The sequence below is a fragment of the Homo sapiens genome, chromosome 12 (assembly GCF_000001405.40).
Source record: "Homo sapiens chromosome 12, GRCh38.p14 Primary Assembly".
NCBI classification, from domain to species: Eukaryota; Metazoa; Chordata; class Mammalia; order Primates; family Hominidae; genus Homo; species Homo sapiens.
Genome location: NC_000012.12, coordinates 100,353,932 through 100,370,738, shown reverse-complemented (window position 1 = coordinate 100,370,738; position 16,807 = coordinate 100,353,932). Strand labels below are relative to the sequence as shown.

At 42.8% G+C, this 16,807-nt stretch overlaps 1 protein-coding gene across 2 annotated transcripts in view, besides 2 other annotated features; it reads right to left on the bottom strand.

The window, feature by feature from the left end:
* The window catches only part of SLC17A8 (solute carrier family 17 member 8), a 64,982-nt gene extending 51,317 nt beyond the window's left edge, over positions 1-13,665 (bottom strand). For both annotated transcript variants that reach the window (NM_139319.3, NM_001145288.2), the window contains exon 1: positions 13,247-13,665. In NM_139319.3, the coding sequence (NP_647480.1) occupies positions 13,247-13,347 (101 nt within the window). In that variant the 5' untranslated portion in view covers positions 13,348-13,665. The remainder of the gene's footprint in view (positions 1-13,246) is intronic.
* Positions 13,214-13,714: an enhancer, noted in NCBI's record as "H3K4me1 hESC enhancer chr12:100750803-100751303 (GRCh37/hg19 assembly coordinates)". NCBI's record gives its function as "activates a minimal SCP1, AML or CMV promoter by ChIP-STARR-seq in naive H9 embryonic stem cells {active_cell/tissue: H9 hESC(naive)}" and the evidence as "EXISTENCE:reporter gene assay evidence [ECO:0000049][PMID:30033119]".
* Positions 13,715-14,215: an enhancer, noted in NCBI's record as "H3K4me1 hESC enhancer chr12:100750302-100750802 (GRCh37/hg19 assembly coordinates)". NCBI's record gives its function as "activates a minimal SCP1, AML or CMV promoter by ChIP-STARR-seq in naive H9 embryonic stem cells {active_cell/tissue: H9 hESC(naive)}" and the evidence as "EXISTENCE:reporter gene assay evidence [ECO:0000049][PMID:30033119]".

The window sequence follows — 16,807 nt, the reverse complement described above, 5'->3', positions numbered from 1 at the left end:
CTTTAAAAGCCTAAGTCACAGATGACAAGCTGAAAGCCCAATGGCCATATGTGGCCCATAGCCATGTTTTGTTTATCTGGTATAATGTGTGTATGGGTCTTTGCTTTTTTTTTTTTTTTTTTTTTTAGAATTTAGATTAATTGGCTGGGCACGGTGGCTCATGCCTGTAACCCCAGCACTTTGGTAGGCCAAGGCATGCAGATCACTTGAGGTCAGGAGTTCAAGACCAGCCTGGCCAACATGGCAAAACTCCATCTCTATTATAAATACAAAATTAGCTGGACATGGTGGTGCATGCCTGTAATCCCAGCTACCCAGAAGGCTGAGGCAGGAGAATCGCCTGAACCCAGGAGGCAGAGGTTGTAGTGAGCTGAGATTGTGCCTTTGCACTCCAGCCTAGGTGACAAGAGCAAAACTCCATCTCAAAAATAAAAAATAAAAAATAAAAAATAAATTTAGATTAATTGACAGAGTTTAAAAACCAAGGCCCAGCACAGTGGCTCACACCTGTAATCCTGGAACTTTGGGAGGCCAAGGTGAGAGGATTGCTTGAGGCCAGGAGTTTGAGACCAGCCTGGGCAACATAGTAAGACCCCCATCTCTACTTTTAAAAATTGTATTAAATAAATAAAAAAATAAATAAATATCAGGAGATAGCTCAAAAAAGCAGAAACAAGCAAACATATAAAACTTTGGATTTCTTGTTCATTTTGAAAAATCTGAAGACCTGAAATAATCAAGCTCTCACTCTGTCATGGCTACAATTGGCTCTCAATTTACCACAGTCCCCACCACTCCCTATTGTCACTTCCATAGTGAGCTCAGTTGCCATTTAACGTTATACTTGCACTGTTACTTTTCTAGTAGTTAAAATCAAGACATTAGAAAAATATGTTTTGTACCCATGTCTGTATCAAAAGTTGAAAAATAAAAATTAGACTAGTAGCACACATATGTAGCAGACAACCATCATTTATAGCTGTCCAATATCTTAATGAATTCTTGATATTTTGAATCTTGCTGGAGCAGCAAAAACAAAACAAAATAAAAAACAACAAAAACAAAAACAAAAAAAACACCTACTTTTCCTAGGCTCTCTTGCAGCTACAATGCAGGCATGAGAGGTGGACTCTGCTAAATCCAAAGCACTTGAATGAGATTTAGATACGGGACAGAACAAGAAGAGGATACAGCATGCAGGGGAATGGCAGTGCAGATGGTTTCAAATGCAACAGAGGCAACTGGCTCCTCTGTGACTGCTGTGGCAGAATTTCTGGAACAAGTCATCAATATAATCAACACTTAGAAGCAGGCAGTGGTGGCAGCTGTGTTTTATCCAGAACAGTCTAGAAGTATATGTTCTCTGCTGCTTTTTCCTGGAGAATACAGCATCCAGACCTGATCCTTCCAGGAAGTCTGAACAATTCCTAACATTCTTTTATTTTTTATTAATTTATGGTTTTGAGATGGAGTCTTGCTCTGTTGCCCAGGCTGGAGTGCAGTGGTGGGATTTCGGCTCACTGCAACGTCTGCCTCCTGGGTTCAAGCAGTTCTCCTGCCTCAGCCTCCTGAGTAGCTGGGATTACAGGCACGTACCACCATGCCTGGCTAATTTTTGTAGTTTTAGTAGAGATGGGATTTCACCATGTTGGCCAGGCTGGTCTCAAACTCCAGACCTCAGGTGATCCTCTCCCTGCCTTGGCCTCCCAAAGTGCTGGGATTACAGGGATGAGCCATTGCCCCCAGCCCAATTCTTAACATTCTTTACGAAATTTCATTCCACTTTAGCTAGAGTGTATTCTGTTGATTGCAGCTAAGAACTTTGAATGATACAACATATTTCCTTGCAGAAGTGGAGCCTATTTCTATGTGTTAATATGTAGTGTGTCTATGTCAAAATATATAATATGGTTGCTTTACTCTGTAGGTATTGAATCTATAGGCCTTACTAACCTTTAAGAAGCACTTAGAAAATTTGATTGTTGTAAAAGTACTTGGGAGAAGTTGTAAAAGGAGAGAATATAAACTTTAGATGAGAAAATACACTTTTGAGCTAAGAAAAGATACTGGGAGCAGGAGTCGTAGAATCTGATGAACATTTACATCAAGAAGCAGGAAAGTATGCCCGGGAATGGATCCTGAATGTACTAGATTTGGAGGGAGTAGGGTAATAAAGTTGGATAAGGGAGAGTTCATCAATATGGGAGGTAGATTGAATTCTGTCCTCCAAAATAGATATGTTGATGTTCTAACCCCCGATACCTGTGAATGTAGCCTTATTTGGAAATGGAGTCTTCACAGATGTAATCAAGTTAACATGAGGTCATAATAGATTGATTTCATGACTGGTGTCCTTATAAGAAGAGGGGAATTTGAAATCATAGACACAGACACCAGGGGAGAAGACCATGTGACAACAAATGCAGCAATTGGAGCAATGCATCCACAAGCCAAGGCACGCCTGGGATTCCCAGCAGCTACCAGCAGCCAGCAAGAGGCAAGCATGAGGCCTCCTTAAGAGCCTTCAGGAGGAGCTTGGCCCTGCCAACACCTTGGGTTTGGACTTCTGGTCTCCAGAATTGTGAGAGAATAAGTTTCTGTTGTTTTAAGCTACCTAGTTTGTGGTACTTTGTTACAGCAGCCCTAGGAAACTAATAAAGGGGGCATGGTCCCATGACACAGGGTCTAACATCCCGGCAAAGGCCTTAAGAGAAATGATCCTGATAAACTGCTAATACGGTTCTTGGAAACTTAAACAAAATAGATATGTCCAGAGTAGCCTGGTGACTTTTAAAATATAATTCTGTACTAATTTCTAGTCATTATTACATTATACACAGAGATACAGGATATGGCCACCATGACTTTTAAAAAAAATAACTTGAAAGCTGGGCACAGGGGTTCACGCCTGTAATCCCAGCAATTTGGCAGGCTGAGGTGGGAGGATGGCTTGAGCCCAGGAGTTCGAGACCATTCTAGGCAACATAGCGAGACCTTCGTCTCTACAGAATATTTTAAAAATTAGCCAAGCATGGTGGCTCGCAACTGTAGTCTCAGCTACTCAGGAGGCTGAGGTGGGAGGATCACTTGAGCCTGGGAGGTTGAGGCTGCCGTGAGGTATGATTGTGCCACTGCACTCCAGCCTAGGTGACAGAGTGAGACCCTGTCTCAAATAAATAAATAAATAAATAAAAGAATAAAAAATTATCCATTCCAGGAGAGAATGCCTAAGGCCACAAGAGTGTCCTTATTTTGGTTGGTCCAGGTCTACATCCTCTCTTTTCCTTCATTGTTATATAAACCTAATTTACAAGCCTATTTCATTTTTTAATGCCTGGTATAAAAATTGCTGAATTTGAACCAGTCATAGCGATGAATTACTGATAATTAAATTGGCTATCTTCTATTCCTTTAAGTAAAGTTTTGATCTCTATTATTTGGAATATAAGAATTCCATAATTGTTATATCTTTAATGTTGATCACACTCTTGATCAATTAAAAGGTCTCTCTTTAACTTATTTTCTTTAAAAATGAGAAATGTTGGGAACTGTTACAGCAGATTATAAAGAAAGATCAAAAGCCTCAAATAAATGACTATGCAGGAATGGATTTTCTATATAAGACCAGAAAACCCACAAACGAACTATATTTCTCAGGAGGCCTGAGGAATACTCCTGCTCTTAAGATAATAAGGAATGCAGTGGTGATGGGGCCACAGGCACCACTGATGCTCAGAAGCTGCTGTCCTCTTCTGGCTGAGGCTCACAGTAGAAGGTGCTGCTCCAGAACCAGTGGCAATTGGGATGATTGGGAGCACTTAACCATCATAGGTAAGGGCAGAAAATTCAGAACTACAGTTAGGGAATCAGCCCATAGGAATCTCAGAGATGACTCACAGAACATGGTGCTCCAAGGAACAAAAATAAAATGGGCAGCCAATAAGGGTATTGCTTCATATACATAAAACCAGAAAAGATAAAGAGCTGATGAATGGGCAGTAGGCTGAGGCTGGCCACCCCAGTGGAAAGTCACACTCTCTTGCCCAGTTTCTAGGCCAGAATCCAAAGACTGAAGGAGAAGACCGAAGGTTCCGTGACTAAGGAACCTGCAACACCACAGAAGGAAATGCAGTCATGATGCCCACAGTCCTTCCCCAAAGGACTCTACCACCATTAATTTGGGTAAACATACACTGAAGAAAGAGAAATACCTCTATCTTTTGCAGACTTTTGGATAAAGGGGCAAATTGATGTTGATACTCAGAGATTTATAGCACTATTCTTCCTCCATTAGAGTGGGGCTTATAAGGGTCAGGTAATAAGTGGAGTCCTGGCACAGGATCGTCTCATAGTGAGTTCATGTCCATGGACCCATCCAGTGGTCATTCCCCCATGTATAATTCCCACATGTATAATTGGAAGAGAGACACCTAGCATTTGGAAAACGCTTTCCGTGGTTCCTTGACTTGTAGAATAAAAGCTATTGTAATAGAAAAAAGTCAAATGGAAGTCCTTAAAACTGTCATCCCTGTGTAAGAAGATAAATCAAAAACAGTATTATATTATGCAGAATGACAGAGATTATTGCACCTTCAGAGATTTAAAGGATGCAGGGGTGGTAGCCCCCATTGGATCCCAAGGTAATTCACCAGCCTACCCCCTGAAAAAAAAAAAAAAAAAAAAAAAAAGAAGGGATCACGGTGGATGACAGGGAACTACCACACTCTTAACTCATGTACATAGCTTGCCTGTCTTGATCTGGTGCATTCTTTCCATATCCATTAGAAAGGAGGCTAAGAAATTCACAATGACATGAGATGAATGACAGTATATATCCGTGGATTGTTCTCTCTCATAATATAGTCAGAGAGACCTTCTGGACCTGCTGCAGAACATCACATTGATCTATTATGACCAATAGATGACATTATGTTATTTAGACCTCAGGAGCAAGAATTGACAAGTACTCTGGATGCCTCAGTAAGACATGTGTGCTCCAGAAATAATTGCTACAAAGATCACAGGTCCATCACGTGGGCGAAGTTCACAGGAGTCTAGTGTTTGAGACATTCCAGAACATTCCCTTCAAAGTGAAGGAAAAGTTATTGTGCTTTGAACTTCCTGCCACTAAGGAAGAAGCACAATGGTTGGCAGACCTCTTTGGGTTTTTGAGGCAGTGTATTCAACACTTGGGAATATTGTTCTAACCCACTTATTCCATGACATAAAAGGCTGCTGGTTTTTAATGAAATCCAAAAACAAGAAAATGTTCTGTAGCAAGTCTAGGCTGCAATAAGGGTGATCTTGCCACTAGGGCTGTATTCTCCAGCATACCCTTGGTACTAAAGTCATCTGAATAGGAAAAGACACTATATGAGGTTTCTGGCAAAACTCAATAGGAGAAATATAGCATAGAGCCTTAGGATTCTGGGACAAGGCCTTGTCATCTATAGTAGAGAAATATACAACAGACAAAAAACATCTCATGGCATGTTACTGAGTCCTGGTGGAGACACAGCATCTGACCATGGAATATCAAGAGACCATGCAGCCAAAACGACCCATCAGGAGCTAGGTTCTATCAGACCTGAGAAGTCCAACTGTCCATCATAAGACGGAAGTGGTCCATCTGGAATCTAACACCAGCAGGGCCACAGGACACAAGTAATCCCATGTCAGAGGGGCCAGTTTTCCACCTGACCTATATCTACTATACCAATGCCTCTCCATGAGCTCACACCTGTGAACAAATTACAGGAGGAAAAAAAACTTAGTTTGGTCCAGAGCTGGTCAATTTGGTATGTTAGAGCATGTTGCAAATGGACTGCTGCTATACTTCAGCCCACCCAGGGATGGCCCTGAAGGACAGTGAGGGGGAAAGCCTCCCAATAGGCAGAGTTTTGAGCAGTCTCCTGGCCACACATTTTGTATGAAAAGAGAAACATTCAAAGGTAAGGATATACATGGACTCATAGGCAGTGGTGAATGACCTCACTGGAGGTCAGGGGACATTTAAAGCAATATTGGAGGACTGGGAAAAAGATCTGGGGAAGAGATGTGGATCAATCTATGAGTGGATGCCTAGTATGAGCTCTCCTGATTGCACATTATCACATGCCACTTGGAAGAGGCACAAAACAGACGATAGGCAGGCTGACTTGGCCAGTTGATGTCAGCTAGCTTCCGTCCTCAGCCACCCAGTGCTAGAGCAGTGCACTTATGAACAGAGTAACCATGGCAGCAGGGATGGAGGCTATGTCGGAGCTCCCACTCACCAGGACTGAGCTAGCTCCTGCTGCGGTCAGCAACAAGACTAATGCTGAGCCCCTGAGATGGCACAATTCCTGAGGGGACAAACCAGTCTCTTGGTCAGAAGTTGTTTGTAACAGACCCCTTCCATCCTGGAAAGGGTAGCAATTCATCCTGACTGGGGTTGAAATATTCCATGTATGAGTTTGCCTATTCAGACTACAAGTCTCAGCCAACATCACTATCTGAGGATTCAGTGTCTGATTTCTCAACATGGGATCTCACATCACATTTTTTCAGACCAAAACACCCAATTTATGGTGAAGATGGCATAGCAGTGGGCACATGACAATGGGATGCACAAGCCCCACCATATACCACACCATCCAGAAGCTGACAGCCTGCCAGAGCTAAAGAAGCTTTTTTTTTTTTTTTTTTTTTTGAGATGGAATCTTGTTCTATCACCCAGGCTGGAGTGCAGTGGCTCTATCTCAGCTCACTGCAACCTCTTCCCCCTTGGGTTTAATCAAGCAATTCTCCTGCCTCAGCCTCCTGAGTAGTTGGGATTACAGGTGCCCACCACCACGCCTGGCAATTTTTTGTATTTTTAGTAGAAAATATATGTTTCACCATGTTGACCAGGCTGGTCTCCAACTCCTGACCTCAAATGATCCATCTGCGTTGGCCTCCCAAAGTGCTGGGATTACAGGTGTGAGCCATGGCACCTGGCCTCTGAAGAAGCTTCTTAAAGATGCAGCTGCGACATCAGCTTGGAGATGAAACCCTGGGAGGGTAAGGTGCTATCTTCCAGGATGCAGTATATTCCATAAATCAACAGTTATGCACCTGTAACGCCAGCATTTTGGGAGGCCAAGGCGGGTGGATCATTTGAAGTCAGGTGTTTGAAACCAGCCTGACCAACATACCGAAACCCCATCTCTACTAAAAATACAAAATTAGCCGGGCATGGTGGTGGGTGCCCGTAATCCCACTATTCAGGAGGCTGAGGCAGGAGAATTGCTTGAACCCAGGAGGCAGAGGTTGCAGTGAGCTGAGATCAAGCCGCTGCATCCAGCCTGGGCGACAGAGTGGGACTCCATCCCAAACAAACAAACAAAAAACCCAACAGTTATGATATGGTGCTGTGTGCCCAGTGGGCAGAACACACAGGTCAAAGAAACAAGGCATGAGAGAAGGAGTGGCCCCACTCGCCATCATTCCCAGTAACCCACCTGAGGAATATCTCATCTCTTCAGCTTAGGCTCTGAGGAGCTAGAAATCCCGATTCACAAGGAAGAATTCTTCCATTTAGGAACACAATGGAAATCCTAGTCAACATATGGTTACGACTGCTGCTCAGTCACTTTGGGGTCCTCGTGCCAAGACCAGAAGACATGGTAAGAAGTCACTACAGTGATAAGGGTCATGGATCCTAATCTTCAGGAGGAATCAGAACTGTCGCTTCATCATGGGAGCAGGAAGAAATATGTTTGGCACCCAGATGATCTGCTGGGACATCTCCTGATACTGCCTTGGCTAGTTTTTAACTGTCAGTGGGCAAATACAGCAACCATGACCTGGTGAGGTTATGTTAACCAGGGATTTAGACCTCTCAGGGATGAAGATCTGGGGCAACCCATCAGACAAGCAAACAGAAGTGAGGGAAATCAAAAAGGGGTGGAGAGGAGGGACCAGTCATCACAGTGGGGCCTGGAGTCTGTCTTAATAACTCTTCTTTGGAAGGCTCCTCAGGAATTACAACCATAGAGTCTTGGAGAAGCTGTACCTGGATGGAGTGAACTTCATGTGAGAAGCAAGTTGATCTGAGCGGTGCAGTGGGTGGGCTGTCATAGACACCATAGCACACTCCCCAGTTCCCCTTGATGGGCAAGCACACTTCTACTTCCAGAGCTGCTAGCAGGTCACGGTTGCTGTATTTTCCCATTTGCAGTTAAAACTAGGCAGGGTGCGGTGGCTCATGCCTGTAATTCTAGCACTTTGGGAGGCCAAGGCAGGAAGATCTCCTGAGCCCAGGAGTTTAAGACCAGCCTAATCAACATGGTGAGACCCCCATCTCTATTATTTTAAAAATTAAAATAAAAAAATAAATAAAACTAGCCCAGGCAGTATCAGGAGATGTCCGAGTGGACCACCTCAGTGCCAAACACATCTCTTCCTGCTCCCGTGATGAGGTGACAGTTCTGGTTCCTCCTGAGGATCAGGACCCATGACCCTTGCCACCATGGTGACTCCTTGCCTGGGCTTCTAGTCCTGGCATGAGGAACCCTGGAGAACTTCCCACTGCTCAGTGGCCTCCAAATAAACCCCTCACCCACCCCCATCAGCCCAGAGCTGATGACTGACTGAGGCAGAGATATAAAAGGCTGCCCCACTTGCCCCAAAGGAAGGACTCAGCACATCGCTTGTGCTCCAGAGCCTTCCCCTTTGGATCTGGCCACTGGGCATTGTGAGCATGCATCCTTGCTTGGCTCTTTCTCCTTTCTGTTTTTTTTTGTTTTGTTTTTTTTGGAGATGGAGTCTCCCTCTGTCGTCCAGGCTGGAGTGCAGTGGTGTGATCTCGGCTCACTGCAACCTCTGCCTCCCGGATTCAAGCAATTCTCCTGCCTCAGCCTCCTGAGTAGCTACGACTATAGGCACATGCCTCTATGCCTGGCTCATTTTTTGTCTTTTAGTAGAGACAGGTTTCACCATGTTGCCCAGGCTGGTCTCAAACTCCTGAGCTCAGGCAATCTGCCTGCCTCGGACTCCCAAAATGCTAGGATTATAGGCATGAGCCACCACACCCAGCCTCTCCTTTCCCTTCTTGTTTTACTCCCTCCCAGTTTTTTCAGGAAGAGCTCATTAAATCACATTCTAGGCTCACCCAAATCCCTGTCTCAGGCTGTGCTTTTTAGGGAACCTACCTAAGACAGAGGTGAAGTAAAGCAGGAAAGAGGGACAGAGAAGAGGGCAGGAGGAGGAGGGCAGGTGAGCTTCATGTTTAAATAGAATGGCCAGGAAAGTGGGGATCTTTGAGCACATACTTGAAGAAAGCGAGGGAATGAGCCATCAGGCTATCTGGGAGGAAAGCATTTAAGCAAAAGAAACAGGGCGAAAGCCGGGACAGGAGTGAATCTGGGGAGTTCTAATAAGAGCCAGGAGGCCGGTGAATCCAGAGTAGAGTGAGGCAGGAAAATGTCACAGATGAACTCAGAGAGCCTTCCAAAAGTCCTAGATCACAGAGGACCTTGAAGGCCATTGAAAGGGCACTGGCTTTAACTCTGAGTGAGGTAGTTTTGAGCAGGGGTGAGATGTGATCTGACTTGGTTTCCTAGAGTCACCCCATTGCAGCCAAGTTGCCTGAGGTCATGCAGGCAGGGAAGTAAAGGATGTTGCAGCAGTTGGAACCCAGGATCACCTGATCTCAGAGCAAGCTTTAACACACTCACCTTTGTTGATGGAGCAGGAAGTGCATATCTGGCACACTCCTGAATGCTGAAGACAGACACGATGCAGGGACTAGTTTCATTTAAAGGGAAGATAGACATACTTGTAAGGAGACCAGACTCCCCTTAAGCCTCCCTTGGAGAAAGCCTTCAATAAAGATGCAACTGATTAGGAGAATAGCCCACACTTGACAGCAGATCCAGAAGTTGCTGGCTACATTGCAGTCCAAGTAGACCTCCCTAAACCTAAATAAGTGGCCCAATATCAAGACAGTGAGTGGGAAGAGGAAAGACACTTGATTACAGGGGTAACATAATGTAGTGATTAAGAATGATGGGCATAGAACATCTGGTTTGAAACCTAGCTCTTCCATTTATAGCTGTGTGACCTTGGGCAAGCTACTTAACCTCTCTGTGCCTCAGTTTTCTCATCTGTAAAATTATTGCTAGATGCTGTGGCTCATGCCTGTAATCCTAGCACTTTGGGAGGCCAAGGAGGCAGTATGGCTTGAGGCCAGGAGTTTGAGGCTGCAGTGAGCTATGATCACATCACTGCACTCCAGCCTAGGCAACAGAGTGAGACCCTATCCCAAAAAAAAGAAAAGTTGTAATTATAGTAATCCCCTCTTCATGGGGATTTTAATAGAATTAAATGAGTTTACAGTGTCTGAAAGATACTGTTTTGTCACTGTTATGTTTTTTAGACATGAACAATTAAAGGACACATAAATTGTAATTTAAATTGAACAAATCTGCATGTCACTTTCTGGACATTAGTTTCCAAGTTTAATGCTTTCTATGTCATCTATATAATTCAATACTAAACTATAAATGAGTGCATCTTCTTTCTTCCTGCACTTCTAAAATATTATTTTACCTTTAGCTGATTAATTGCTCAGCTGCTTCTTATCAATGACTGTTTTCCAGGAAAGCTAATCATGCCTGACTGTAATCAAGCCTGTGTGCGAACTCTCAAATGCTTCCCTGTGCAATTGCCACTCCCCTGACTGTGAGGAACACTGTGATTAAAAAGCATCTCAAGAATTCCATTTAGATGATGACCTCAGCCTCAAACATTATTAGACAGCTGTGATTTACATTGCCTTCTAAGTTACAATGTAGGGGCTTCTAGCTTCCAAAAGCTCCTACAAAACAGAAAACAGTTCTTTGTGATTTTTTTACATGGGATTCTGTCAACTGGTTTTACGTGAAAAGCAGTGAAATGAGAGGGAAATGCCCAGTATGTGCCAGGCTCTGGGCAGGGTCATTTACATACAATTACCTTATACACCTGTGATTAATGCCAAACACGTGGCAGAGCTGGTCTTGATAATTCCTCACTAGAACTGAGGATCAACTTGGATCACCGCTCAAGCAATGTCTGTTTTCGTTTCTTCTGCCAATAATTTCTCTCTATAGATCACTGAAAAAAGGGATTTGACCTTGGCTTTATTTTTTCTAAAGCCATTCTACAATTAGGACAACCATGACAATATCTAGCATTTGTTTAGTGCATTCTCTGTCCCTAGTACTGTGCTAGCTGTTTTTCTATTGTTCTGAGGAAACTATTCAAACAGTCCTAGACACATAGCCCAATTTCTGGTTGAGGTCACACAATTTGGAAAATCGCCAATTTTGTTATATCCCTAAGCAAATCAATTTTGTAAACAAAAAGATCTCCATGTAGCTCCTCCAATCAAACATAGCAAAACCGGCTCTTCGATCAATAATTCCTATTGAAAAAAGCAATCAAATTTCACAAAAAGCAATTAAACTTAAGGTTGAAAAGAAAATTCCTAAGTATTTTTATATCAAATATTTTATAAATGAAGGCAGAGTTTGCTGTTTATAATGGTGACTATGGCCCAACGTCATAGGTTTTTAAATTTATTTTATTTTTTTATTTTTTGAGACAGAGTCTGACTCTGTCACCCTAGCTGGAGTGCAGAGACGCAATCTTGGCTCGCTGCAACCTTGAATGTCTGGGCTCAAGCAATACTCCCACTTCTTGGGAAGCTGAGATGACAGGCATGCACCATCATGCTGGCTAATTTTTTGTATTTCTGTAGAGACATGGTCTCTCTATGTTCCCCAGGCTAGTCTCGAACTTCTGGCCTCAAGCGATCCTCCCACTTCCGCCTCCCAAAGTGCTGGGATTACAGGCGTGAGCCACTGCGCCCGGCCTATGGTTTTTATTCTTGACTTTGCCAGATTCCTTTGTCATTACTTGAATAAGCCAATTAAGCTATCGTGCTTATTATGCAAAAATTATTTTTGCGTTTCTAATCAAATGAACGCCAACACAATAAGACGTTACCTGGGGAGTGCTCAACGGAAGGATAAAACACTCTGAAAAAAATGTTATTGTAATTTTTTCTATATTTGGCTGGTTTATGCTGCTGTCACTGAGCTAGGTTTTCATCTAGACATGCTAATTCAGTGTAGGTCTGATTGAAGCTTTTTTGTTTCTAATTACTAAAATAATAAGGTGTCCAACTCTTTTTTCTTATTAGGAAAGTTAATATTAACAGTGATACCATGGAAAATTTAACACTGACAGGAGCATATGTGTTTTAAAACACAAGAAATGGGATGAATCTCAGATTGCCTGGAAATAGTCATTTAAATGAAAAAGTTTTTAAATTTAAGAGATAATAGAAAAGTTAAAAGGACACACCAGATGGCATTTTCACTCACCAGGATTAGAAATAATCATCCAAACAAATAAAAAGTGTATCAAAGTTATTTTTCACATTTATTTATATCAGAGAGATAAAGCAGTCATTTTACCTTGCACATAAGGACCACTTATGAAATCATTTATATAATTTGAGAAGGCATTTACTATGTCTATAAAAATTCATAAATTAAACTGTCACATTAATTCAATCATTTATAGCAAACTCTCCTTCCATTAATATATTTTACTTTAAAAAATATTTACTTTTTGGTTTGGACTAAAATCTCATTCAATTCAGTGATAGTACTTAACATTTTCCCACTGCAATTATGTGAGATTTTCTGCTTCAAAGACATTTTTTAAGTTACTTCCTTCAAATTAATGTGTAACTATCCTTCTCTTTGCAAACTATACAATCAGGAACCACTTTATGTATTTTATTAAATAAGCTAAAAATTGCAAATATTTAATTTTCATTTATAGTGGATTCAGTGAAAAACATAAAAATTATTTCAGTTCAAGGCATATTTGTCATTACTAATGAGTTAACATAAAATATTATCTCCCTAAATATTTTCTAATTCAATGCCAAACATACCATATGCAATATCATCATCTCCAGAAAGTGCTAATCCAGCTATATAAACAGCATATTTGTCTTGATCTTTTCCTAATACAACCCAATACTATTCATGCATCTGTTTTTCCTCCAGGCATAGACTACTGGAGCTAGAAGGGGCTCCAGAAGGATCTAATCTGACCCATCCTCTCCTCATTAAAGTGTGGTTTTAAAAACGTGATACCAAGTCTCTCACACATTGGCAATACGAAGCTACTCAGAAAGGAACTAAAGTTCGCATTCAAACTTTACCTTTGTAAAATTCCCAAAGAATCTCCCACGGCGTTCTTCACTCCTTCCTTCCCAGGTTTCAGAATTTTTTCTTTGAAGGTATCAAATGCTTTAAAAGGCATTTTGAATGAGGGGCACCTCTGAGCCGTTAACAGTCAGTCTCAAAAACTGTCATCCTTCCTCATTTCCAGTGTGAGAACCACCTTGTTTCCCTTGGTGAACACCTGGAAGTCAGTTCTCGTGGAGGGAACTACTCAAAATCAAAAAGGAGATGAAACCCAGCTCGGATCTTCCAAGATAAGACAACTCCCTCCTCTCTCTGCTCCCCACCCCTCCAAAAAAGAGTCCAAGGGGTGTCTGGCTGGGAATTCAGTCCCTTGCAAAAGCTGCACGCTCTGCAGCAGCCTGTGGCAGCTGTCTCAGGCAGCCACTCTCAGACTGAGCGCAGCCTCTCTCCCTCCCTGGGCTGCAGCTGGGGACGCTAACATGAGCTCCGGACCACCAGGAGTCCTGAGACCAGCAGCAGTATCCGTGGCCTAGCTCCAGCCCCTCCAGCCAGCCGCGTCCCCCTCCTGCCCCACCCCAGCTCGCCTGCCGCTCTCACCAAGTGAGACTTTCCAAGGTGATGCTATAGTAACCGGCACAATACCTGCCCCTCAGCCGCCTGGGCTTATGAATGGGCTCTCAGCCAGAGCAGGCACCCAGAGAGAAATTTATGAAACATTTACAGCCCTTTGCTTTTCTGAGGTCTGGCCCTGCAGACAGGCTCACAGCCACCACTCCATGCCTTTTATTCCCCTCATGAGAGTCATGAAGCCGTTTTTCAGCCAGCCACTAGCATGGATGTGGTCCCACGAGGAACTTGCATTTGAGTAGCCCAAATGCAAAACCCAGGCCACATACATCCAGGAGGACATTTATTTGCTCCTAATCAACAGAGCAGGCTCTCTCAAAGTATGATACGTAGATGCCATTTGGGACCATCTAATTGAAGATTTCTGAGCCGGAAGATATCTAGAACCTGCTTAGAACTCTCCACTGACTCCTCATTGTCCTCAGGATAAATAAAATTATTTTTGTTTTTTCCCCTTTTCTCCCTCTAGATGGACTTTTTTTTTTTTACTTTAAGTTCCAGGATACATGTGCAGAACATGCAGGTTTGTTACATAGGTATACATGTGCCATGGTGGTTTGCTGCACCTATCAACCCATCATCTAGGTTTTAAGCCCCACATGCATTAGGTATTTGTCCTAATGCTCTCCCTCTCCTTGCCCCCCAACCCCTGACCAGCTCCGGTGTGTGATGTTCCCCTCTCTGTATCCATGTATTCTAATCATTCTACTACAAAGACACATCCACACGTATGTTTATTGCAGCACTATTTACAATACAATTCTTTATCATGGCACACAAGGCCTTTCCCTGGGACCCTAAGTCTTTCTTCTTGTCACTCTGCTTTCCACATCCTCATTTCACTGAACTCAGCAAGCTCCCTATTGCCTCTGGGCTTTACTCAAGCTATGCCCTCTGCCTGGGTAACTCTCTGCACCCCTTCAACTGGGTAACTTCTAGGGGTTCTAAGGTCATGCTAAGATATCAATCCTCTAGAAAACTGCATGGGCAAGGTGAGATGTCCCTCCTCTGTGCCTCCAAATCACCTGTCCTCTGCCCTAGCAGAGCCTGGCAGGGAGTGGGCGTTACCTAAATACTTGTTGAACTGGGGCTGAAACGCTGCAAGTTGTGGCCACATTTATGGGCAGCAGGATGACGCCTCTGTAAATGCTGCTGCGGTGGAAAAAAAACTCTTCATCTTTGAGGCTCCTGTGTTCCAATCCTCCAGTCTGCATGCGACTGACAAATCATAGGCTATAGGCTCTCAGGCTCCCCAGGAGTCATTTCCACAAGACCAGTCAATATCCTCTGCAAGCCACTGTCCAAATTATCCAAAATTTGAATTAAGTTCAACTAAGTCCGTGCTGAATCCTTGGTAGGCTAAATATTGCTAATATCTTTTGAGTTCTTTCTAGGGTCCTGGCTCTGTGTTAAGCACTCTTTAAGTATCACCACAATCTTCCCAGCAAGACTCTGTGGTAAATAACTTCTTATTTTCCCCAATTTTACTGGCAGGAAACTCAGACAAAAAGAGGTTAAACTTACCTGAGATCATACAGCTAGTAAGTAGCAGAGCCAGGTTTCAGATCCAAACAGCCTGGCTCCAACCTTTTCTCTCTCTCTCTCTCTTTGTCTCTCTCTCTCTCTTGCTCTCTCTCTCTGTCTCCCCCTCCCTCCCTCCCTCTTTCTCCCCACACATACTTTACTGAGACATATTTTGCATTTCAAATAATTCACCCATTTCAAGTGGACAATTCAGATTCTTATAAATTTACCAAGTTGTGTAACCATCACCAGAAAGCAATTTTAGAATATTTCCACCCCAACTAGATCCTTCATTTTCACTGTTAATCCTCATCTCCTATCCCATATCCTGCAACAACTAATCTACTTTCTATCTCTATAGATTTGCCTTTTCTGGACATTTCATGTAAATAGAATCATACAATCTATGGTTGCTTGTGTCTGGCTTCTTCCACTCACTATAATGATTCTGAGGTCTGTCCATGTCATAGCATGTATCAGTAGTTTGTTCCTTTTCTCTTTTTTGTTGAGTAATCCTTCGTTGTAAGGATATAACACAATTTTGTATCTCCATTGACCTGTTGATGGACATTTAGGATAGTTTCTAAAAGGACATTTGTTTCTAAAAGGACAATTTCTGGTCACCAACCTTCCCATCATAACCCCTCAAGACTGAGAACAGGAAGGCCCCAGGAATACGCATGTCTAATCATTCCACCGAGTATTTGCCTGTCCTCAAAAAGCTCACTTATTCATTAAAAGCAAATACAATCACAATAAACCATGATAGACATACTCTCTTACCGAAAGCATCCACTGGTGGAGCTTCTAACCCATTCCTCCAGCCCAACATATCCTTATGTTCCTTATCTCTTAGAGCACATAACGGAAGAAATACTAGGCAAAAACCACATCCATCTCTCCTGAGGCTCAATGACTTCTGAGAGCACTAACCATTCCTGCAGAATGTATTGCTCAGGAAGCATACCTAGATCTGCAGTTTCTTGTGGTGATTTAGATGTTTGATAATAATAATAACTAAGATTTATAGAGAATTATCTACATGCCAGACTTTAAGCACTTAACATGCACTAACTCATTCAATTCCCCACAATGACCCTGAGGTAGGAAGTGTCATTATACCATCCACAGATGAGGAGACTGAGGCACAAAGAGGTGAAGTAAACTTGTTCAAGTTCACACATCTAGGAAACTGAGCAGAGACAGGATATGGACCCAGAAAGTCTGACATCAGAGCTTGTGCTCTTACCTTCTACAGTAGAACTGTTGATAATAGGGACTAGAAAATATAAACCAAGACTATATAGAAGTGAGGCTCATTTCATTCATTTATTCATTTCTTCCTTTTCTTGAGGACCTACCTGGTAGCAGGCCCTTCTTAGGCACTGGTGATATAGGTTGAACTGTGATATTCCCCTTGAAGA